General features: G+C 37.6%; 1 protein-coding gene across 2 annotated transcripts in view; it reads right to left on the bottom strand.

Moving 5' to 3' along the window:
• The window catches only part of PASD1 (PAS domain containing repressor 1), a 113,065-nt gene that overhangs the window by 32,441 nt on the left and 54,986 nt on the right, over window positions 1-25,638 (bottom strand). For both annotated transcript variants that reach the window (NM_173493.3, XM_011531102.3), the window contains exons 5-8: window positions 23,270-23,369; window positions 22,707-22,817; window positions 21,235-21,362; window positions 18,769-18,851 (exon numbers count right to left, since the gene is read on the bottom strand). In NM_173493.3, the coding sequence (NP_775764.2) occupies window positions 18,769-18,851; window positions 21,235-21,362; window positions 22,707-22,817; window positions 23,270-23,369 (422 nt within the window). The remainder of the gene's footprint in view (window positions 1-18,768; window positions 18,852-21,234; window positions 21,363-22,706; window positions 22,818-23,269; window positions 23,370-25,638) is intronic.

The raw sequence follows: 25,638 nt of genomic DNA, 5'->3' as shown, positions 1-25,638 counted from the left end.
CAATGTACACTTGTAAATATCTTCTGAATCAATGTACAAATCCTGATCCTTCCGAATACAAAATAACTACACTGCCTTCTAAATATTTGATAGGTCCTTCTCTTTCAATATAGCCACCTTTTATTAAATAAATAATTGGAGATAGTCGTCTTAATAGATTTACATTATTTGAAGATGAATTTAGTTCATTTTAGGAACCTTGGCTAAAGGCAGATAGTCAATGGATGTAATTTGGATCGGTTCAGAATATCAGTAACTTGAAGTGAATGCTTCATCATCACCCTCAATAATCTTAAGGTAAATGCTAACTAACCATACTCCCTACCCACGACCAATCTCATCTCTGACTGACAGAAAAGACACTATCATTTACCAAGTTCCTACCCAGGGGTCTGTATCTTACACATATTACCTTTCTGAATCCTACAATAACTCAATGACATATGCTCTGTTATCATCTCTGCTTTATAGATGAGGAAAATAAAGCTTTATAACATGAATAACATATAAGTTCACAACCAGTAAGTGACAAAGCCAGAATATGAACCCAGTCTGCTAACTCCTTATACCAGTAAGGGCAATAGTTGTGTCACCACTAGGGAGTAGTAAAATAATCTCTAGTTTTGTTTAATCCCAGCCAGAAATGCCTTGATTTTGTCATGTCACACGTCCAATATGCCCTAATTTGTTTATTTTTACTTTTATTTTTTATTTTTATTTTTGTGTGTACATAGTAGGTGTATATATTTATGGGGTACATGAAATGTTTTGATAGAGGCATGTGATGCCTCCATTTGTCTCTATTACCAAAATGTGTATGTCTTTGAAATCGATAGGCTCATATGTTAAGATCCATTCCATCACTGTATATTCACACCGCAGCTTAACCCACTAACATCCCCCACAGAATGAACTGCAGATACCTATGAGCTATTACCAACTTTGCCAGGTAGTTTGTGCACACTATTGTTTCCAGGAAGGATGCAATCTTGACCAACTCCTGGCTCCTTCTTAGTTTTGCTTCTGGAAAGCCACTGCTTTTCAGTATGGAAGCATACCAACTTCCCAAGTCAATCTGCTAATAGGAAATTTTCCAAAAGCCAACTTGCCAGGAGACAAATGGACTGAATGAACATGAATCAAAGTAACAATCTGTCAAATTATCCAAATATACTGATTTACCAAAAACCTGTTTTTTTAAGCTATTCATAAAATTTGCAGTATGCTGAGTTGGCAGAGTTTAAGACTATCGTTGGAAGGAAGGATTTCAGAGTCCTGAGGGCTTCAGACACCTGCTTAGCTCCTCATTTCCTTCTCTCATGGACTCCAGTTTCCTCCCAACCCAACTTCAGGGGTTGGAAGCCCAAGCTGTGCTGGATGCTGGCTCTCCTTTGTTTCTTTTCCCCATTGCAAGTTCCCCTCTCTTGTCCCCTGCTCAATTCAGCTGCAGCAGTAAGGGACCTGGGGTACAGACAAATGGAACCTTTCCTAAAATGTTAATAGAAAAATTGGCCAAGCACAATATATCCTAAGTATCTTCAAAAACTGTTAAAATATTTCAATCCACTCTAAGTCATTAAGTTTTATCAGAGTTCAAAGATATAAGTTTGGGGAAAATGGTAAATTTGGCAAATAAGTCATTTGATGATATTGGTGATAAAATCTGAAAACATGCTAAATCATTGAAAAATTAGAAAATGCATTCTTTAAAAGTGTATTATTAAATTAGCATGAACTAGAAACATTCATATGAAATCCTGAAATTCTGTTTTTATTCATAAGAATGGTAAACCATTCTGTGACTTTTAACTTTTTACAAATTAAACATTCCTTAAAATGTTGAAAATAAGAATATATCCATTGACTATAATCAAGAATGTAGTCATTGCATATAATCAAGAATAATATATTGATATGAACAGATACTTAGTATACTGAATAGATAAGGGATCCAAACTATGGCCTGTGAGCCAAAATCAGCAGCAGCCTGTTTTTTTACAATGTAAGAATGGATTTTGTAATTTGAAAAAACACGAGCAGGTGATTGGTTTCTTTCTCTCCAATGACAGCAGAGGCAATGGACAACTTACAGCCAGAAAAGCCCATTGCGTTCTCACTTGGGAAAGATCTTGATGGACCTGAAGCTGCTCAAGATCATGCCTTCCTGCTAACAAAGGGACAACAAATCCCATCGTTTACCATCTTAGCATATAAATGTTTTAGGAAACTTCCTGAGTGACTGCTTCCAGAAATTTTCTTTTGGCTTAAGAAATTAACTTTTAGTCACAAAAAGTTCTGTCTTTTTTGATGTGAGGGGAAAAGTATGATATTTCATTAAGATATTCTGAATGGAAGGAGTGTGCTATTTGAATTTACCCGTCCTCTCCAGCAGAGTAATTTATTACTTCAGGGCCTAAAAGGATGGGGAAGGAAAATGTCTGGTATACGCGCGCGCGCGTGTGTGTGTGTGTGTGTGTGTGTGTAAGTACGCGTGTGCACACGTCTATGGTGTGTGTTGGGATTGAGAGATAGGCAGAAAGTGAAACAAGATGACTCAGGAAATAATGTACCCTTCTCCTCTCCAATTCCCTATCCTGAGCACCACAACCCTCACTGCTCCCTGGCCATAGCATGAAGAGGACTGACTTTCATGAGACAATGAGTTAGGGTCTATAAGCATCTTTCCATTTCAGCCTTCCTGTTTTCCTGTACGAGACACAGATATGGATTCTTATGGCTTTCAAAATCATATTCTTTTTGTGGGTTAACATATATATAACTGATATATCTGAAGCTGATACATAACTGAACCTACACCATATAGATTAGTTCAGATAATTTCACGTATTAGAAAATGAAGATTTAAAACAAAATGTTGAGTTTCTACTATTTATAACATGAGGTCCCTTTTATCTGGCAGGTAATTACTTTTATGGCATAGCTAAGAAAATTCAATTCTTCTTTTAGCTGTATGGTAAAGACTTGCTTCAAATCACTGCTAATATACAACTAAAAATCTATCCATTTCATAGAAATCAGCACTCTCTAAAGGGCCATTTTGAACTCCTCTAATGTGCTTTTTTTTTGGTTACACCAGTTTTCCACAAACACATCAAAAGAGGAAAAACACCGAACAGCACTTGGTGGTATTTCCTCACCAGAATTAAAAAAAAACAAGTAATACACAATATTCATCACACTTAAAAAGTAAACACAAATCATCAACATGGTAGAAATCTTAGTCTGATGTACCCCGAAGAGCAATTAATCTGTGGTAAGAGTTGCCCTAATGTCAAATAATAAAGAGAAAACAGAAAAATGAATACTAAGTCAACAAAAACTCTATTGCTATAAAAATAACCAAAAAAGTTTCAAGGTTTTGTCATCTCAAAAAGAATATTGCTGATATTGGCTTCCTCTGAGCAGTGTAGAAATATTAAGTAAACATGAAGGCAACTTTAGAATCTGATTAGTGTTCTGTGGTCCGCCCCCTGCCCCTTTTCAAACGTAGAGAAGGCAACATATAGCTTTGGTTGGTGAGTCACTGGAATATGCCTGGATGCCAGCTGCTAACACTAAAGACATTCATGGGCAGAATGAATGTCAAGGCTACACAGTTCCCCATCATATATTTGTGGAAAATTCATTCCAGGAGAAATTCATAAATCAGACACAAGACTATACTAAGACCAGCACTGTGTGGTAAGATATAAAGAAAGTTTGCTCTGTTCCCACTAACTAATAAGCCCTTAAGGCCAAGCCTTCCAACTGAGGACAGGATGTTCTATAGGGATGCATCTCTCACTCAAAGAGGACAGGGTTTTTGAAGGACTAGAACTGACAGCTCAGATATAATTTCTACAGTTTGTAAGGTACTATATTGACTTTTATATTTCATTATTTTCATATTTGGATCCATTATCAAATATTTTTCCAGTCTAAAAACTATTTTATGAATTAATATTTGTCACTATTCAGTCAAAATGATTTGCTTTCACTTCAATGAAACAAGACACACACAAACACACACACACTTTTACATCATAAAACAGGGCAGGACCAACTTCTTTTTAATACATCCAGTAACTTCAGAGCGCCTGGACTAGGTACATATGTTCATGCTAAGGTTTTGCCAAACATCCCATGTTTTATTTGGCATCTGAGTCTTCCTATTTTTGTAACTGTCTCAGTCATCCCTCTAAGGTAACATGGTATATGGTTTTTCTGTCACTTTTATAGGACTATTATTGAGCCAGGCGGGGAAATAAAGCAACAAGAGACCAGTCGAGTCCCAGCATATGTTAAAAGAAAACGTTTTATGTCTTTGCTATTTATTAAAACTCTAATGGCCTGTGTTGGCTGTGCAAATATGAGATATGATTTGAAGTTTGGCCTTGTTTTCTCTTTTTGTTCTGAAAATCAGCTCTGTTAGTTTCCAATGGCAAGATGGACCCATAGCTAAACACATGACTGTATTCTAGAAATCAGAAAATGAATTAATTGAATAAAATGAGCTAGTCTGTGTACTGAGGGAGACACAAGCTGAATGCAATCCCACTCTCAGCAAGCTTTTGATTTTCTAGGAGAAGAGCTAAGTCAGTCTCTGTGATCTCAAGGCAAAGTGGAGAGTGTCAGTACGAGAGTAGAAAGCAGGGAGGAAGAGCTCTTCCGAACTGGGCACCAGGAGGAACTTCTCAGAGAGGGAAGATGGAACTGTTTCTTGAGGGGTGAGAAGGATTCAGGTATACAAAATATAGTGGGGAAAAACATTTTAGTCCATGTAGAAATAGTGAATGAACTTAAATGGCATGTATGCAGAATGGTGTAGTTTCTTGTAGTATTGTAGTTTCTCGTTTCGTTGTACATCTCAGCACTAGACAGCAAGTTTTATGAGGATAGGCACAGTACTGGGCACTGCAAACACAGTCTCATGGATCTTACAGTTTCATGGGAAATCCAGACAATGAGTGATTAGTTTAGAGATAACTATAAAGTTAAAAATTGTAATAAGTATGATTAAGGAAAAGGGCAGAATGCCAGGGGAGAGAATAAAAAATAAACTTAGGGGAACCAATATAAGGCAACTATTGAACAACATAATGGAAAAATATTTCAGGTTGAGGACACAAACTTGTGCAAAGGCTCTACGCTGGAAAAGAGTGTTGAGAATTCACAGAAAAGAGAAGCCAGGGAGGCTGAAGTCTGACAGACAAAAGGGAATACAACACAAAATGAGGTTTCAGAAATAAGTAGGCATGAAAGCAGTATGCTTTACAGACCATACAAAAGGAGTCTGGATTTTATTCCAAGTGCAATGGAGAAAGCACCGAAAGTTTTTGAGCAGGACGGTAACAACATCATATTTCAACAAATGATACTGGAACAACTGGACATCCATATACCAAAAACAATGAACTTTGACCTAAATCTCACACCTTATAAAAATAGTAACTCAAAGTAGATCGTAGATACAAACTTAAAATCCAGAATGATAAAACTTTTGGGAAAAAAAAAGTTTATGTGGTCTTGGTTCGGTAATGAATTCTTAAGACATGTCACCAAAAGCAATCTATCAGAGAAAAAAAATGACAAAATATTCCTTTCTTAAAATAAAAACCCTTTGTTCTGCAAAATACACTGTTGAGAATGAAAATAGAAGCCCCAGACTTGAGAAAGTACTTGCACATCAAATATTGAACAAATAACTTGTATCCAGAATGCATAAAGAATTCTCAAAACTCATAGACTGTGGTGAGGACGAAATGAGTTAAGATGTGTTTAAAATACTCTGAACCATGCCTGATACACAGTAAGCACTCAGTAAGTGTTGTTATTGTTTTCTTTTCTTTTTTTTTTTTTTACTTTAAGTTCTAGGGTACACGAGCACAATGTGCAGGTTTGTTACATATGTATACGTGTGCCATGTTGGTTTGCTGCATCCATCAACTCGTCATTTACATTAGGTATTTCTCCTAATGCTATCTCTCCCCCAGCCCCCCACTCCCCAAAAGGCCCCAGTGTGTGATGTTCCCTGCCTTGTGTTCAAGTGTTCTCATTTCTCAATTCCACCTATGAGTGAGAACATGCGGTGTTTGGTTTTCTGTCCTTGTGATAATTTGCTGAGAATGATCGTTTTGTATGAGTATGATTTCATAGTTGAGGATATCAAGGTTCAAGGAAGTCAAGCTGCTAAAGTTAATACAGCAATAAGTGACAAACCCAGAATTTGAACCCAGACTGTTAGCTTTGGAGACTACATTTTTAATTTTTACTGCTCTGACTTTGCAAAATTAATATTAGAACAATGTTTGCAGGATGTTGCAAAGATTAAAGGCAATGAATATGAGAAAATATTTTGTGAATAAAAAATGAAACTGAAAAAAGAATTCTCAAAATTCAGTAAGAAAACAAACAACAAAATTTTAAAATTAGGCAAAAGATTCAAACATACACTTTGTCAAAGATGTAATGATGGAAAGTGATGAAAAGATATTCAATATTATTAGTCCTTAGGGGGAATGCAAATTAAAACCATAATTCAATACCACTGTGTGCCTATTAGTGGCTAAAATTTTGAAAAATGACAACACCTAGCACTCAGGAGGAAGTGAAGCAATAATAACTCCCATACAAGCTGGGTGTGGTGGCTCACACCTGTAATCTCAGTATTTTGGGAGGCCGAGGCGGGCAGATCACCTGAGGTAAGGAGGTTGAGACCAACATGGTGAAACCTCCCCTCTACCAAAAATACAAAAATTAGCCAGGCGTAGTGGTGAGCACCTGTAATTCCGGCTACCAGGAGGCTGAGGCAGGAGAATCACTTGAGCCCAGGAGGCACAGGTTGCAGTGAGCCGAGATCAGGCCATTGCATTCCAGCCTGGACAAGAGCGAGACTCTGTCTCCAGAAAACAAACAAACAAACAAAAAACAAACAAAAACTCCCATACATTGCCAGTAGGAATGCAAAATGGCACAACCACCCTGGAAAAGGATTTGGTAGTTTCTTATAAAGTTGAACATACAATTACTGTATGTACTAACAATTCTATTCCTATCTACCCTAGAGAAATGAAAACACGTTTACCAAAATCTTGTACACGTTTATCACGGTACTATTCATAACCGCCAGAAAACTGGCAATAACACAGAAGTCCTTCAGCAGGTGAAATAATAAACTGTGGTACATACCTACAATGAAATGCAACTCATCAGTAAAAAGTTTTTGATGCATGCAACCACTCGGATGAATCTTAAAGGAATTGTGTTGAGAGAAAGAAGCCAGTCTCTAAAGATTACATACTGTATGACTCCATTTATATGACATTCTCAAAAACACAAAACTATAAGGATGAAGTATAGATCAGTGGTTGAAATGGGTTAGGGGTGAGGTGGGGTAGGGCTGACAATAAATAGGCAGGACAAGGAAGTTTTTTGAGGGATGATGGAACTGTTCTGTATTCTGATTATGGTGGTGGTTGAATGAATCTATAGCTTTCTTAAAATCCACAGAACTGTATACCAAGAGGAAAAAAAAAATTTACTGCACAATTTAACAGATAGATTGTTTAAGAAATAATTTTAAAAATGAAAATACAGGCTGGGCACGGTGGCTCATGCCTGTAATCCTAGCACTTTGGGAGGCCAAGGCAGGTGGATCACCTGAGGTAAGGAGTTCAAGACCAGTCTGGCCAACATGGTGAAACCCCATCCCTACTAAAAATACAAAATTTAGCCAGGCCTGGTGGCAGGCACCTGTAATCCCAGCTACTCAGGAGGCTGAGGCAGGAGAATCATTTGAACCTGGGAGGTGGAAGTTCCAGTGAGCTGAGATCACGCCACTGCACTTCAGCCTGGGCGACAGAGCGAGAAATTTCTCAACAAATTAAAAAAAAGAAAGAAAGAAAAAGAAAATACATATCCACAGAAAGACTTTTTTTAAAGAACGTTCATTGCAGCTTTATTTGTAATAATCCAAAACTAGAAAAAAATGTCCATCAAAAGGAAAATACGTAACAAATTGTGGTATAGTCATACAATAGAATACTCCTCAGCAACAAAAAGAATGAACTACTGATACGTACAACTTATGCTGGGTTAGAAGGCAGAATCAACAGAGTATATACTGTATGGTTCTATTTTTATGAAGTTCTAGTAAAGGCAAAATTAATCTAGAGTGAAAAAATTCAAAATAGCAGTTGCCTCTAGGTGGGAGGATGACAGAGAAGGGGCACAAAGAAGGCTTCTAGTGTGCTGAAAACATTGTATATCTTTAAAAATTTTTAATTAAGAAGTAAAAATTATATATGTATTTCTGGTGTACAATATAATGTTTTGACATATGTATACACTGCGGGATGGCTAAATCAAGCTATTTAAAATATGCAAGCATTACCTCACATACTTATCATTTTTGTAGTGAAAACACTTAAAATCTACTCTCTTAACAATTTTCAAACATAAAATACATTGTTATTAACCATAGCCACCATGATGTACACTGTACCATCTTGACAGGAATGAGGTTTACACGGGCTTCTCCATTCAAAGCTCATGGAATGATAGACTTAAGATAGGTGTATTTTACTACATGTAAATTTTACTTTACAAATGTAAATACTATTAAACTCAATTTAGAAGGTTTTCTTTTTGCAATGACATAAGTTGGCAACCCTGAAACTACTTTCTGTGCATTTGATATTTGAGCAAGTAAGTAACTATATTGAGGACAGTGGGGCCAGGCCTTTGTGACTATTGGAAAAGAGTGTTGCAAATACAGAAATGAGAAGACTAGAATGAACCCTATGGTGTTGGCTTAGAATCTGAAGCATCACTATGAACTCATGATTTGTATTATTTTATATACACTCATACACAAAGGTACACATACATATAGATATGTATCTTTATATGTAGGTACATGTGTATTTGTTTCCTAGTTCTGAAAGCACTTAAAAGCAGTGGCACACAAGTAATGATGACCAGAACTAATGCCTAGATCTTGGTTTCTAAATACTTCTGATTAAAGAAGCTGGAGTTGCTCAGACTAAGACTTAGAGAACTGGCTGATTTCTCTGAGGCAGAGAAAATACAAAATGAACCTGAAAAGTCTTGTGCCAGGTAGTAAGGGTGATGCTCAAAGAATGACAGGGCACATTAAAAAGAGATGAGTCAGCTGGAAGAGGCTCCCACTGGCCAATTCTGAGACAATGTGAGCATTAAAATAAGTAATAATAGTAGTATATTATAAGCCAGTGAATAAATAAATAACGATTCAATTAATGAGGCAGAGGGGAAACTTCCTAACCAAAATGCCAACCAATAAATGTAGAAGGTATGATGCTGTTAGAAAATTATCAACAGGTACTAAGACTAGTGGGTAAAAATTTCTTGAGGAACAGAATATTTACATGTCTTCAAGTACTTTCCCATAAGTTACTTAAAATTTACAAAGGGAAATTTTACTTTACAGGTGAGAAACTTGGTGGACATCTCTTTAACCATGTGATCAAAGTTCACATCAGCTTATGAGAAATATCAACACCATCTATCTTTTGATATGTCGTACTGAGAATACAACATTGCTTCTGTGGTATTCCTGATAAAAATGCGTAACTTGACTCTAGTTAAGAAGACACATCAGACAAACCCAAATGGAGGGACATTCCATAAAATATTTAGTCTGCACTCATCACAAATTTCAAAGTTAAGAATATCAAAGGAAGTCTGGGAAACTATTCCAGTTTAAAGACATATGACAACTAAATGTAATCGTGATCCTAAATTGGATCCTATACCAAAAAAAAAGCTACAAAAGATAACTGACAAAATTTGAATATGGACTGTGGAATAGATGATAATAATATTCCACAGATACCAAAATTCCTGATATTATAACCATACTAAGGTTATGTATTATAATAAACTTGAACATAGGAAATACATAGAAGTATTTGAGAAATAGAGGTGTATCTCCACAGTTTATAATAAATTACACACACACAAAATATCTATCTATATGAAGAGAGAGAGAAGAGAGAGGGAAGAAAAGATGGGGAGAAGTTGAGAGAAGGAGAGAAGAGGAGAGAATGATAATAAAGCAAATGGGGCAAGCTGTAAAAAGTTGTGAGTATAGGTAAAAGAGGACACATATAGTTCCTGCCAATATTCAAATAAAAAGTTAAAAAATAAAAAGAAATTTTAAAAATGGCAATGGAGCTAAAGCAAAAGAATGTCTCAAGATAAGAAAGAGGTAAAGCCAAAATCATTAAGTGAAAAGAGAGCTGGATGAATCCCATTCCACATCTTCAGATGACCAACACACAAGCTGGGCAACTATATTGTGGAATGGCAAATGAATACTGTGAGAAAAAAATAACATTATTACTTGAGAAGAATATGCAGCTGTGAGAATATTTATTTAAAATTGCTTTTCATAAAATAGGCAAATATATCAGATAATTTGTCCCAGTTTTTTTAAACTTTTATATTTATTAGACTTTTTTCATTAGTGTCTAAACCTCAGTAATTTCAGTGCTGCTTCAATAAGTCTTTAGTACAAACCCTTACACAGAGCTTTTCAAAAAATATTAACAACAAAACTGCTCTTATCAATTGCAAATCTAATAGTTTAATGATTTTATGCATTTAGATGATCAAAATAATTTGTCATGTAGCTGAAGATGGAGTATGGGTTGGCTAGAGATCACATCATAAAGAAAATGATATATAAAACCCAGGATCCTGAGACTGCTATCCCTTCTACCTGTGTCTTTTGATGTCTGTCCTTTTCAAGGACCAGACCCTGTACATGCTACTAATATGATTAGTTAAATGTACACCAAGGGGCTGGCTTCAAATCTAACAAATACAGCTGCGTGGAAATGGGCTCAAGGGTTCTTTCCCTGGATGTAAGCCTGAAAAGCCCCAACTCCTTTCCTTATCTGCTAACACCAGGTGTCAGCATGTGAGTATCTGTCTGGTGGGTGTCGGAGCACAGAGTCATCTGGCTGTATGTGGCCTCCAAGCTGGAAGTTTCATCATATTCAAAGTTGGGCCGCACCCACTTCACCCTGCAAGGAGACATGGATGCTCTTCATGGAATGACTCGGTTGTTCATGGAGAGAGTACCATCTCAGTATGGAGGTTTCAAATGTACTGGCTTTAAGCAGAAAAAAAAAGAACTACCTTAAATTTATAGAAAAATAAAAAGAATATTGAAGAAATCACCAGACACAAACTTCAGATCATGACTGTCTGCTATGTTCACAGGTAGCCCTTTGTAGTTAATGGTGTCTGCATAGATTAGTAAGGACTATAGTGTTAAATTATAATTACTCCATATTTGGAAGGACTTTCTAATCCATAATAATTTGACTTTGCATAGTATTTTACAAAACATATAGATCTTATTTCTTTTTTTTTTTATTTGAGCCTCACACCCATTCTGCAGTAATTATCTTCATCATTTATAGATAAAGAACATAAGACTTAACAGGCTTCTCCAAGATCACACAAACTGTAAATGGCAAAACTGAGAAATAAAACCTGAGCATTATAGTTTTTAAAAATCCTAATTTTATGTTGTTTTAAAACTATATTACAAGACCTCCACAGTATTTGCCAAAGGTGATAGGTAGAATTAGTAGAGTAGAATTAGTAGAAATAGCCAAGTAACGTGCAAAGGGAGAGCAGGTAGTGTTGACTGAGTCTCCACACGGCATTGAAAAACAAGAGAAATAATGGTGAATGACTCTAGCAGGAGCTATTCCACAAGGCAGGGTCGAGCTGACACGATCCTGGGTCCTTCCCTCACAGTTGCTCACAGGCCCTGCATGCTCTGAATGTTCCTCTCTGGTGACTCTGCTCCAGCTATGCTGGCTCCTTTGCTGTTTCTCAAACATATGCTTCTGCCATGTACTTCTGCCTCAAGGACCTTGCATCTGCTCTTCCTTCTGTCTGGAATATCTCCTCCAAAATCCACAAGGCTTGCTCCTCCACTCCTTTCAGATGTTAACTCAAGTCACCTGCTTGTTGAGGCCCTTTCTGGCCACAAAGGAACCACAGGGAATTGCCAATATTACTCCATTTTTAACCTATAAAATGCCATTTCAAAATCTAGTAGTATTTAACTTCCCCCCAATAACATTCCCTATACCCCTTTCACTGCTCAATTTTTTTTCCCTTGGCCCTCATCATCTCACCTGCTCTATAGTCTATTGACTTGTTTATTATCTTTCTCCTCCACCAGAATGTAATGACCACGAAGATAAGGACTTTTGCTCACTACCATATCCTTAAATCTTGGAACAGAAACTTCCACATAGCAGATGCTAACTATTTTCTGTATGAATAAATAAGTTTCACTGGGACTAAAGTGATAAGACTAGGCATGCTAGCCACATTTACAATGATGTGCAAGGCCCCTCCTCTGCTCAAGATGGGACAGACATAAGGAATGGAGTCAATACGGTATAGTATAGTATGGTAAAAAGACTCGGTACAACAAAACCTCACTAACTAGGACCATTGTACATCTTTGCAAAATTTTCCCCACACCTTTGTACAAGGTGTCTCTTCACTGAAAGAGGAATTAGGCAGGAACATTCTTTCTGGTGGAGTTGCTGACAGATGGAGTCTCCCCAGGGACCAATTCCAGTCCTATAGCAGAGTTTCTGAGGACTTTGCAAGCACAGGTAACAGCTACTAGAACCTGGGAAATACTCATCATTTGATTTTCCAGTGTTTTCTACTTTACTTTTGGGTGAAAATGTGCCATCTTTGTAAAAAGTATTAGGGCTAACTAATCGGTATATTCTCCTCCCTCTAAGTTTAAGGTGAAATTAAAAAGAAAAATGTTTTCTCTTAGTAACATCCCTGGTCACATACTTTCCAAAGACTCCTTGAGTTTTCTCCCTTGAATCACATACCGGCCACAGCTCCTGAAACTGGTGTCCTCGTGGAATGCAGCCCAGGATAACTTAGGTCCCAAATACAGCTATACTGCCTAACCAGCTGTGTGAGTTTGGGTGAATCATACATCCTCTGTGAGTGCACTTTCTCACCTGTACAATGAGTCTAAAATCTACCTTATAGATATGTAGAAAATAACTGAGTTAATAAACATAAAATAACATGATGAAGTATAAAGAACAAATTGCACTGTGTTAAAAGATGATGCTATGATAGGAATTTGGGCCTTACCAATACATGCAACTGGGCAAATCCAAAGAGTACCTTAGTTGCTTACTTCTGACTCTTAGCAGTAGCAAGACAGCAGAGGGCTACTCAGTATTCACTTTTTTGCCTGCCCCTCACTGACTCACAAATCCCTTACTTCTTTCTACCTTCAATAGTCCAAGAAAGCAAGACTTTCCACTCCGGTACACCTGTAGCCTCAATGAAAAATACCCCAGCTGTTCAGGCCCTCTCCTGAAATGAAAGATTTTTAAGCCTCAAATCTTAAACCTGCACAAACAGGACATTCTATGTGGAAATACACCCTTTCTTCTAAATACTTCAAATTCCCACCTTTGTGTTTCCTTCATAAGCATAGAGAAAACTTAGCAGGATGCTTCTTAATCTTAAAAAATGGAATTACCAAGATAAGGGAAACATTTTGGGAGCTGTGGGTCCCTACGACCTTTGTGAACAATTGCTTTTCTAACTATCCCCCAGAGGGTAAAATGGAAGCCAGACTATTAATAACTAAAAATTACAACCCTGATATGATGCAATCTCTTCTCCTTTTTAATTGAAAATATCATGGGGACAAGGGACAAGTCTATGAAAAAATCAAGCAATAGGGTACTGGTTTGCACTTTTTTTCTAACAATACTGCATAATGTTTGAGAGATCTCATGGCCCGGAATGTATTACCATTTTGATAAGATCAAGTAACCAATCAGTTAATGAGCAGATGTCACTTCTGCCTACTCATTGTCAGGTTCTGTGCTCAGACAAGGGTGAGGGTGACAGGTCCTGCCTTACAGAGTTCAGGTTAGTGGGCCAGCCAGGTCCACCAACAATCCATCACATGAGAGCTGAAGAGACTGGGGCCAAAGTAGTGGCCATGGAGTTGGAGGAGGGAGGGATATGAGAGGGACAAGCAGTCTGGAATTAATCAGACTTTTCTTCATTAAATGCATCCGCTTTTTCCCTAAGTGTCATTTTCTATCTTACTTCCTACATGATAAACAATCCATTGTCTAGTTTTGAACTTTAGGGGAAAGAGTGTGCGTTCACCCACATTTGAGTCATAATTTCTTACAAAATTAGAAATGATATAATTTTAAGCCTTCAGAAAACACTTTTATTATGTATCTTATGAAGATTACGGCATAGATGTGGTAGCTGGCTCCTTGCTGCATCAGAATATTTTTCATCCAATTAAACTCTACCTTTAAATAAAATATGAGTATCTTTGTTCTCTAAACTCTCACTATCTGAATATTTGCTACACTGATATGCTAGTTTTTAAACAAAATTCATTACCCAAACCTGCTAAATAAATCTGTTTTAGGGTGCATGCAAGAATATGTTTAAGTCATGCATGCCTAGACAAGAGCATGTCAGTGTGCTGCTATTGTGTCTCAGTCATTCTCCTTATAGCAAAACTTGAGTTCATGTTGTTTAAACATGTTGTCTTGTAGGTATCTTACGTTCCACATTATTCAGTAAAAGGTCATCTAAGAAACTAGAGAAACTAATGAAGGAAGTGGGCAAGACTAACAGGCCTATTGAAGTCCATGTACTACAAGAAAAGCTGGGAGCAATAAAGCACATTCAGAGACTGGCTAGAAGTCTTAAGCTTGGTCGTGCACGTGCTCCCCACTCCTAGGAGCCAAACATAAAACACTGAAGATTCACGTAAAATTTAGATTCTGGCTGGTCGCAGTGGATCACACCTTTAATCCCAGCACTTTGGGAGGCCGAGGCGGGCGGATCATGAGGTCAGGAGTTCGAGACCAGCCTGACCAACATGGTGAAACCCCGTCCCTACTAAAAATATAAAAAGTAGCCAGGCGTGGTGGTACGTGCCTGTAATCCCAGCTACTCAGGAGGCTGAGGCAGGAGAATCGCTTGAACCCGGCAGGTGGAGGTTGCAGCGAGCCGAGATTGCACCACTGCATTCCAGCCTGGGCGACAGAGTGAGACTCCATCTCAAAAAATAAAAAATAAAAATATCCTGAGACTTTGCTGAAGTCTCAGCCCAAAATCTCCTTAAGCTGATAGGCAACTTCAGCAAAGTCTCAGGATAAAAAATCAATATGCAAAAATCACAAGCATTCTTATACACCAATAACAGACAAACAGAGAGCCAAATCATGAGTTAACTCTCATTCACAATTGCTTCAAAGAGAATAAAATACCTAGGAATCCAACTTACAAGGGATGTGAAGGACCTCTTCAAGGAGAACTACAAACCACTGCTCAATGAAATAAAAGAGGATACAAACAAACAGAAGAACATTCCATGCTCATGGGTAGGAATAATCAATATTGTGAAAATGGCCATACTGCCCAAGGTAATTTATGGATTCAATGCCATCCCCATCAAGCTACCAATGACTTTCTTCACAGAATTGGAAAAAACTACTTTAAAGTTCATATGGGACCAAAAAAGAGCCCGCATTGCCAAGTCAATCCTAAGCCAAAAGAACAAAGCTGGAGGCATCATGCTACCTGACTTCAAACTATACTACAAGGCTACAGTAACCAAAACAGCATGGTACTGGTACCAAAACAGAGATATAGACCAATGGAACAGAATAATGCCGCATATCTACAACTATCTGATCTTTGACAAACCTGACAAAAACAAGAAATGGGGAAAGGATTCCCTATTTAACAAATGGTGCTGGGAAAACTGGCTAGACATATGTATAAAGCTGAAACTGGATCGCTTCCTTACACCTTATACAAAAATTAATTCCAGATGGATTAAAGACTTAAATGTTAGACCTAAAACCATAAAAACTCTAGAAGAAAACCTAGACAATACCATTCAGGACATAGGCATGGGCTAGGACTTCATGTCTAAAACACCAAAAGCAATGGCAACAAAAGCCAAAATTGACAAATGGGATCTAATTAAACTAAAGAGCTTCTGCACAGCAAAAGAAACTACCATCAGAGTGAACAGGCAACCTACAGAATGGGAGAAAATTTTTGCAATCTACTCATCTGACAAAGGGCTAATATCCAGAATCTACAATGAACTCAAACAAATTTACAAGAAAAAAACAAACAGCCCCATCAACAAGTGGGCGAAGGATATGAACAGACACTTCTCAAAAGAAGACATTTATGCAGCCAAAAGACACATGAAAAAATGCTCAGCATCACTGGCCATCAGAGAAATGCAAATCAAAACCACAACGAGATACCATCTCACACCAGTTAGAATGGCGATCATTAAAAAGTCAGGAAAGAACAGGTGCTGGAGAGGATGTGGAGAAATAGGAACACTTTTACACTGTCGGTGGGACTGTGAACTAGTTCAACCATTGTGGAAGACAGTGTGGCAATTCCTCAAGGATCTAGAACTAGAAATACCATTTGACCCAGCCATCCCATTACTGGGTATATACCCAAAGGATTATAAATCATGCTGCTATAAAGACACGTGCACACATATGTTTACTGCGGCACTATTCACAATAGCAAAGACTTGGAACCAGCCCAAATGTCCATCAATGATAGACTGGATTAAGAAAATGTGGCACATACACACCATGGAATACCATGCAGCCATAAAAAAGATGTGTTCATGTCCTTTGTAGGGACATGGATGAAGCTGGAAACCATCATTCTCAGCAAACTATGGCAAGGACAAAAAACCAAACACTGCATGTCCTCACTCACAGGTGGGAACCGAACAATAAGAACACATGGACACAAGAAGGGGAACATCACACACTGGGGCCTGTTGTGGGGTGGGGGGAGTGGGGAGGGATAGCATTAGGAGATATACCTAATGTTAAATGAAGAGTTAATGGGTGCAGCACACCAACATGCCACATGTATACATATGTAACTAACCTGCACGTTGTGCACATGTACCCTAAAACTTAAAGTATAATAAATAAATAAATAATAAATAAAAATTTAAAAATAAATAAATAAAAATAAAAATTAGATTCCATAAAAACAGCATGCTGGTACAAATAAATGTGATCATGGCATGAGCAGACATGTCACATTGTCACATTCAACACACAATTACACAATTATTAATACAAATGCAGCTTTATGTTAGCAAGAATTTTTAATCAAGCAAAGGGGATGTAAATAGCTAGCCACCATGAGTTCTGTTTCTCATCCCACTGCTCTGTGTGTAGCATCAGCTAAAGGTTGACAACCAATCACCTCTGTACTCTTCTGATGGGAATGGAAGATTCTCCCTGCCTTCTCTTAAATCCAGATGAGCCTCAAATATTTCCTGTTTAACTCATTCCTTCACCAGCTCTGGCTTCCTTACCTCCTCCTGCCCCCGAATAGTAACCGTGACCACAGCTTCCAGCTCACTCTTCTCACCATCAGACCTCATGCAAGCATGCCTTTGATCCCAAGAAATCTCTTGCAAAGTTCTCTTGTTTGCTTATTTTATTTTGCTAAATATTACTGGCATACAGTGCACATCTTTAATATATTTAATATATTACTTCATTATTTATTTACCAGTACATGTACACTGCAACGTAGAAGGAAAATGTAATCCCCTCCCAATACTAGACACTGTATAGTGTATGCTATTGTGGCTTACTACATACAAATGTGCCAAACAATGAGTTTATCAAATGCTGAATAACTATATAGTATTATAAATAATTTATATTTTACAGAAATCCTTTGTGGGTTGTTAAATAAGTTTATAAAGGGGTTTTAGTGGTATCTGGCAAATTAATCGGCATTTTCCTGGGGGTTAGGAATATATTTTTACTTTTCTCACGTGAAATAGTGGAATATTTGCTTCTATTCTCTGAAAATGTGTTAGTAAACAAATTTTAAAGAACACATTAGATTCACAAAAGAGGAATGCCTGTATAATTAGCAGTTACCACAATGCATACTTGCTCTTCTACCATTTAAAAGTGTCTAAACATTACCTTTCTTTTCAAGAAAAAAAAGTAATGAAGTAGTATATTAAAATGCATTACCTTAATTTGAAAGTCATTACATGCCTGGGTCAGTTAAGTTTTCTCTATTTATTGCTTTAATGCTTTTTTTAAAAAATAAAAAATAAAAAGCCAATCACCTGTATTTACATTCTGTTGGAAAAATGTGAATTATATGAGCTGGGAAAGGAAGTTCAGACTAGTAGACTGCTATTCTGGTTTTATTTATTTATTTAGAGACAGGGTCTCACTCTGTTGCCCAGGCTGGAGTGCAGTGGCATGATCACTGCTCACTGCAGACTTGATATCCCGGGCTCAACTGATCCTCCCACATCAGTATCCCAAATAGCTAGGACTACAAGCACATGCCACCATGCTTGGCTAATTTTTTTTGTATTTTTTGTAGAAATAGGATCTCACTATGTTGCTCAAGCTGGTCTCAAACTCTTGGGCTCAGGGGATCCTCCTGCCTCAGCCTCCCAAAGTTCTGGGACTACAGGCATGAGCCACCATCCCTGGCCCGTTTGTTTCTTTTTTCATTTTCATTTTGATGGGAAAAAAAATATCTGTAGGTGTTATTTCTCTTGTTTTAGTTTCGTTTAGTAAAATTGAATTCTAGATCTTCATTAGCTTTATCAATACTACCTCTCACCTGAGCTCTCCCACAAAAGGTTCCTCATCTGAATCTTGTGTAAGTACAGCTTCATCACTGACTGCCTTTGAAGTGTAAAGTTGCTGCAGAAAAATTCAAATATTTAGACATTTAATATGTATATAAATAGTAAAAATGCACAGCATATATTAATTTTGGAGGCATGCTCATATCCAATGTTACAAATAATCTGCATATCAATGTGAGAAATGCACTGGAGTTTTACAGATTTGAAAACTGAGGATTAGAGATATAATGATTTGACCCAAGAAATAGAGCTAGTAGATCCAGGAGCAGAATTTCAAAGTTTGAACTGTGAGTTCATCCCTCTTCCCACTGTACTACACAGTCACGCTGTGAAAAAAATCTTCCTCCAAAAGCCCGCCTGTTTGCACAAGATTTTTTTCTCCAAAATGTCCACTAATATGGAACAAACATCCTATAAACCCAGAGAGAAACTGGACTAGAACACAAATAGAGTTCCTTGTGCTGTAAGGGCTACCAAGGTATTGGGCCAAATCAGATGTTTTTCTGTTTCTCAGAAAAGGAAGTAGTTACTGGGGTTGACTTCCAAAATGGGATGTCTGTATTCTCATGGCAGATGTGACAGTTCAAATCCCAGAGGGCTACAAAGACGGAATAATGAATGGGGCAACTGAATTAGGCAACTTCCTTAAACTGCCTTTCTTCTATACTACTTTTCTTACCATCTTTAATTTGAAGAAATGATGACATATATTACTTGTTCTAAAATTGAATGTAAAGGCCCCCTCCACAGTTTCTAAAATGTGGTCTGAAAAGCCCACGTTTTAAACCAGAGATGAAAAGTAAAGCAAGCATGTTGCCCTCTCTGGATCACTGGCAGTAATAATGACAGTAATAACAATGATCACAACAACTGTAATAGCTCACATTTACTGAGTGCTTACCATATAGGAGAAACTGTCTTATTTACTCCTTACAACCCTAATAGAAGGTACTATGACTGCCATTTATAGAAAAAGAAACTGAGGCTAAAGGATGTGACTTGGCCAAGGTCACAGAGCTGGTAGGGAAAGGATCTGAACACAGGAAATCTGGATCAGAGCCTTCCCTTATAAGGTAATGAGTTGGAGATGTTTTATGTTGTAACATCAACACAATATTAACATGGCCCGAACAGTGCTCTTGATTCTAGCCTCCCACACTGCCTGATCCACATTGTCCCAGTCTTGCTAAAATCAGTTAATGGCACCTCCATTTGCTGAGTTCCACAAGCCAAAAAGCTAAAAATCCTCCACGAGATGTTTCTCTCCCTTCTCCTAGACACTTCTAACTCATCAGCAAGGGCACTACCTCCAAAATACATCCCAAGTCAGAATACTTGTATCTCCATTACTACAATCATAGTCCAAGCCCCTATCATCTTTCACTTAGGTATTCTTGCTTCTGTTCTTGTTTCTCTGTACTCCATTTCTCAGCCAGTATTCAGCCTGACCTTTAAAAAAGAAAATCAGATCATGTCACCTTCCTGCTTTCCAATGCACTTGAAATAAAACCCAAACTGATTACCATGGATCTCAAAGTTCTACATAATCTGTCCCCTGCCTATCTATTGGATCTTATTTTCTGCTGCTCCTTCCCCCTTTCACCTTATTCTGGTCACATAACTTACTTTGTTACTTGGAACTCTCCAAGCTAGTTACTACCTTAGGTCTTTTACAGATGTTGAACCATCTACCTGCGTTGCCTTCCTTTCTTAGTTAGCATCCCTAGGGGTCTCTGCTCAAAAGACAAATTATCCGAAAAGGACCTTCCCTGACCACTCTGTCTGAACTCCCCACCCGCACTAGTCATTAGCACATTATTCTGTCATCCTTCAGGGCACCTTCCAATATTATTTAGCTATTGTCTATCTCCCCTAATGTCTCTCTGGCACCTAGCACAGTACCTGTAACACAGTAGGTACTTACTATATATGTTACTGAATGGAAAAATTAATGGAAGCTGAATCTATCAGATGAATTCCAAAGTGAATTCTTTTTAGAGCTAGAATTTGTGAATGCTATATTAGAGAACACAAAGAGAGCAGAAGCCTTTACAATCAGCTACCCAATGGGGTTGTGGTGGAGCTGCCTCAAAACTCACGTAGTATAAGAAGCCTTCCTTCATCTACCTGCCAAAATGCTCATTTCTCTTCATGTGTTCCAGTCCCCAGCACCTACATTTTATAATATTTTATATTATGTCAAGACTACTTGTAAATGATTGTGCATCTCTTTCGAGTGTGTCTAAATTTTCACTGAGATGTTCACCTTCTGAAACATAGGAGCTGATTTTCCTTATTTACATATCCCAGCACAACCCTCTGCACACACTGAGTAATTTAGCAATGTTGTCCAGTGGCTGACAGACCAAAGGGGAAGTGACCCTTCAAAGGAAGCCCACATCGCCACAGCGGGGGAAGCACAAACACAGTATACCCACCTGCAGGAGCTGAGTCCTGAGAATGCAAACATTTCCCACAAGATAAAGCCGATCCTCCTGAGGAACACATGCAGCAAAGTCAGCACAGAGGTGGCTGGAAAACAAGCCACTAAAGACCACAGGAAACTCTAAGGAAGATAGACACACATGTGAAAACAGAAAGGTGGACCAGTTAAACAAGAAGACAAATACCTGACACATCCATGTGCTGTTTGCTAACCCATTGACAATTTTCAAAATTCTGAGCCATGGGATTTTTCCTGTCTTCTTTCCTTTTCAGCCACCCTCCCCATCAAAACATAAAGAATTTATTACTGAGAATCAAATATTGAGAGTTAAGGTTGGTTTTCAGTCTTCCGTTATTACCCTGTGGATGGATATTTTAGTCTCCAAAAGAGATGTGGCTCCTCTCTTTTATATAGACCATATGGGTAGAGTGTGTGGGAGTGTGTGTGTGTGTGTGTGTGTGTGTGTGTGTAATCTGTGCACACAGAGTCAAGTAAGATTTTTTCAAAAGGTATGACTTTTAATTTCCAAGAATCATGACAAATATATCAGCCACCTTTTGCGTGAGTTAATTTCATTTATTTATTTATTCATTTCTCACATGTTCATCAATATTTGGTATTATTCAAACTTCTAATTTTTCCCATTCTGATGGGTGTAGAGTGCTAATGTCACTGGTTTTTAAATGTTTCATTCTTTGCTTATTAGTGAGTTGGAGTATCTTTTCATATATTTGTTAGCTATTTGGGCTATTTACCTCTGATTCAAGTCCCAGATATTTTAATGGCTCCAAACCAGTTAATATTAATTAATTTATGTTAATTTCTCAGCTTGCAGTTTCTGAAACCTCAAAATTTGTAAAATGGACCCTATATCCACACGCGACAAAAATTTGGGTTTTGGTTTCTTGTAAATGGCACATTTTGTCCATTCAAATTCCCAGAGAGATGATAAACCTACTCACTATTCCTCTGGGTCAATGGACAGAACTTTATTGATCACTTCATTGATCTCTAGGTTTTATATACTGGTGCTTGACTGGGTGTTAGAATTCCCGACCCCAGCCAATGGAGCCTATGCATGACTTAAAATCCACCGAGGCCACCACAAAATCAGCTGCTTCTTACCACTGTCATACTGCTTTAAACTTTAATTTCTGGTACACATAGACCCACAGAGTCCCCTTTATTTTAAGCTTGGATATGCATTAAACTTCTTTTGTTATATTTTTGCAATCATTTCCTTGTTTTATAAAAAGAAAGAGCCATCCTTAACAACTCAGTGTCCCCCACCTTGTAAATTTCACTGTTAATTTTTAAAAGTCTAAGTAATGTGAGTAGTCAGAAACTGTGGCCATAGGGATATCAGACAGTTTGCAAGTACCAAGCAGAAGAGCATTTATGTTAGTAATGTGAGGCTACATGACTCATAAATGTCATATAGATAAGATAAACAGAACTGCTTACCATTACAAATATCTCTTACATTCACAATAAATTTCACGTTTTCGTAAGCAGAACTATCACCATGTTCGACATTTCCTCTTTTTAAATGACAGCAAAATTCAATATGTGTTTCTAGTAAAAAGAGAAGAAATACAAAACAAGTCTACATTTGTACTTTACCATATTCTACTGGATTATTTCATATGACCAATGTCTTTCTTCGATTAGATTTTACAAAAATATTATTTTCTTTCCACGAACATTAGCACTTACATAGCTAGCTATGTTGTATCAGTAGAGTAGGGCACCAGCTAGAACGCTATATACAATGGTCCATCATTTATATAGCACTAATGCAATTGTACAAATGCTACAATACTCAGGGTCTGTGGTGAGGAATAAGATTTAATGGAGGAGAGATTTTTTTAACACTAGAAATAGAGTTTGTAATATTATATAAAAGTAAATTAATATATGATCAACAGCCGTATGTGCTCTAATATCTTTTTAGAAATTAATCCATTGAGCGATTGTTACTTGTCCCTTAAAACCTAAGAATTTACTACTTTTAAAAATATACATACCTGAGTTTAGTAAAGGAAATTTGAGAATAATCTTTTGGTAGACTTCATCTTTCTCTTCATCAGGCAGAAGGCTTAATAATTTTTTGCCCACAATCTCAGCCTGGCAGGAGAGGAGAGGAGGAGGTGGAGGGAAAAAGGAGGGGAAGAGGGAGAGAGTAAACTTTTTTATCTGTGTTAATACTGTTCAGTTCCTCTATCTCCTTACCTCCAGTGAGCTTATGCTCTGCCCCACCTCAGCCATGTACAGTTATACCTGTTGTACCTCTAAAAAATACAATTCCCATTATCCTACTTTATGAGCACCACCTCCTATGTGCTCTTTCCCTCTACCATATTTGCCTGGGAAAATTTTGACTCTAGTTACTTCCAACCTTTCATTTATCTACACCTTCACCCAAGCAATTGAATGTAAATGAAGAAAAACCCACAACTAAGCAGTATATTATTTGAAATAAGTATTCAAGTCTGCCCAAAAATCATTTATTTAGACAATTTGCTCCCCTACTCTTTTTCCTCCTTCAAACCTCCGACCCCCGAGCCTTCCTTCATTTTCAGCTGACCTAATTTCTTGTTTCAGTGAAAAAAAAATGGGAAATGTCAACATCTGACACCAAATCTACCAACCTATCTGTTCCTGTGCCTAGAGACCTGCTTTCCCTCCTCTTCCAATGAATAAGCTCCTACCTGAATTTCACTCCTTCACCTGTGCACTGCATCCCATTTTTCTGTAGACTATGAAAAGACATTGTTCTAGAAAGTCTCACCCTACCCCACACATCAAGTTTTCTTTCCCTCTCAACTGGGTGTTCCCATAAGCATACAAAATGCTGTACTATACATGCTATGATATCTGTCATCTATTTGGTCATTACACACTCTATGCATGTATTGAAATATCACATGTACGCCATACATATGTACAAATATTACATATCAATAAGAAACTTTAAAAATAATCAGGAAAACAAAAACAACAACACAAAATTCTAAAAACGCATAACCTTCCTTTACATTACCGCCTCTCCCTTCAATTATAATTCTACTTATCTGGAGTTATGTACAAATTTATACATGAATAAGAAATTTTAAAAATAATCAGGAAAACAAAAACAACACAAAATTCGAAACATGCATAACCTTCCTTTACATTACCGCCTCTCACTTCAATTATAACTCTGCTTATCTGGTCCACTTTGGAACAAAAATTCCTGAAATGAAACGACACTTGTTACCTCCCCTTTCTTCACTTCTCGCTCTTTCTTGAAACCACACTAATGAAGTTTATATCTAACCACTCCACTCCACTGAAACTGCTTTTGTCAAGGTCACTAGTGCCCTCCATATTGCCAAATCAAATCATCACTTCTCAGCCCTCATCTTACCAAGCGTCTCAGCATTTGATGCAATTGATCCTTCCTTTTCCCTTGATACATTTACTTGACTTCCAGGACACCACACACATGAGGATATACTTCTACCTCAAAGGCTACTCCTTCACAATTTGCTAGATCTTAGTCTTGCTTCCTGAATACTAGGCATCGGAGTGCCAGGGCTTATAGTCATTAGGCCTGTTTCCCTACGTGGTCTCTTCCACTTCCATCTCATTAAATACCACCTATCTGTTAATGACTCACAGATAGTCGTCTCTTGCCCCCATGATAACTCAACTTGGATGTCTAATCGGATTTCAACTTTAAGATATCCAAAAAGAACTGATCTTTTCTTTGACAAAATATGTTCCTCCCTCGGTCTTCCCAATATCAGTAATGGCAACCACCATTTACCCATTTACTTGTCCTTGACTTGCCTTTTATCTCTCAAACTCAATATCCAGTCCATCAGCAATCTCTAATGGATCAATTTTCAAAACACATACAGGCTCAGTTCACTTTTCGCCACTTGGTCCAAGTCTCATTTCCAGTTTGGATTACTGCAGTAGCCGTAACTGCTCTCCCTGCATCTATTCTTGCCATGCCCCTGCCACCACTCCATTCTCTATAGAACAGCCAGCATGATTCTTTCCAAACATGAGCCACATCATGCTATTCCTATGCTCATTCCAAATTTTCTACTGATTATCCAAGTCATTCTGAATAAAAGCCAAAGTCTTTATAAGGGCTTTCACCACTCTATATTCTGGTTCCTTGCTGCTATTGACCTTATCTGCTTTCTCTCTCTCTCTCTCTCACTGCACTCCAGGTACACCCAACTCCTCATTCACATCCAAACACAATGAGAGCAAATACTCATCTCAGAGCCCTTAAACTAACTCCTCCTGAAATGTGAAGCACTCGTTCCCAAATATTTGCAATGGCTTTCTCTCTCACTTAATACAGGTCTTTACTCAAAAGTATTTTACATAGCACCAA

Source organism: Homo sapiens, chromosome X, assembly GCF_000001405.40.
Source record: "Homo sapiens chromosome X, GRCh38.p14 Primary Assembly".
NCBI classification, from domain to species: Eukaryota; Metazoa; Chordata; class Mammalia; order Primates; family Hominidae; genus Homo; species Homo sapiens.
This window is presented reverse-complemented; position numbering and strand designations above follow the sequence as displayed.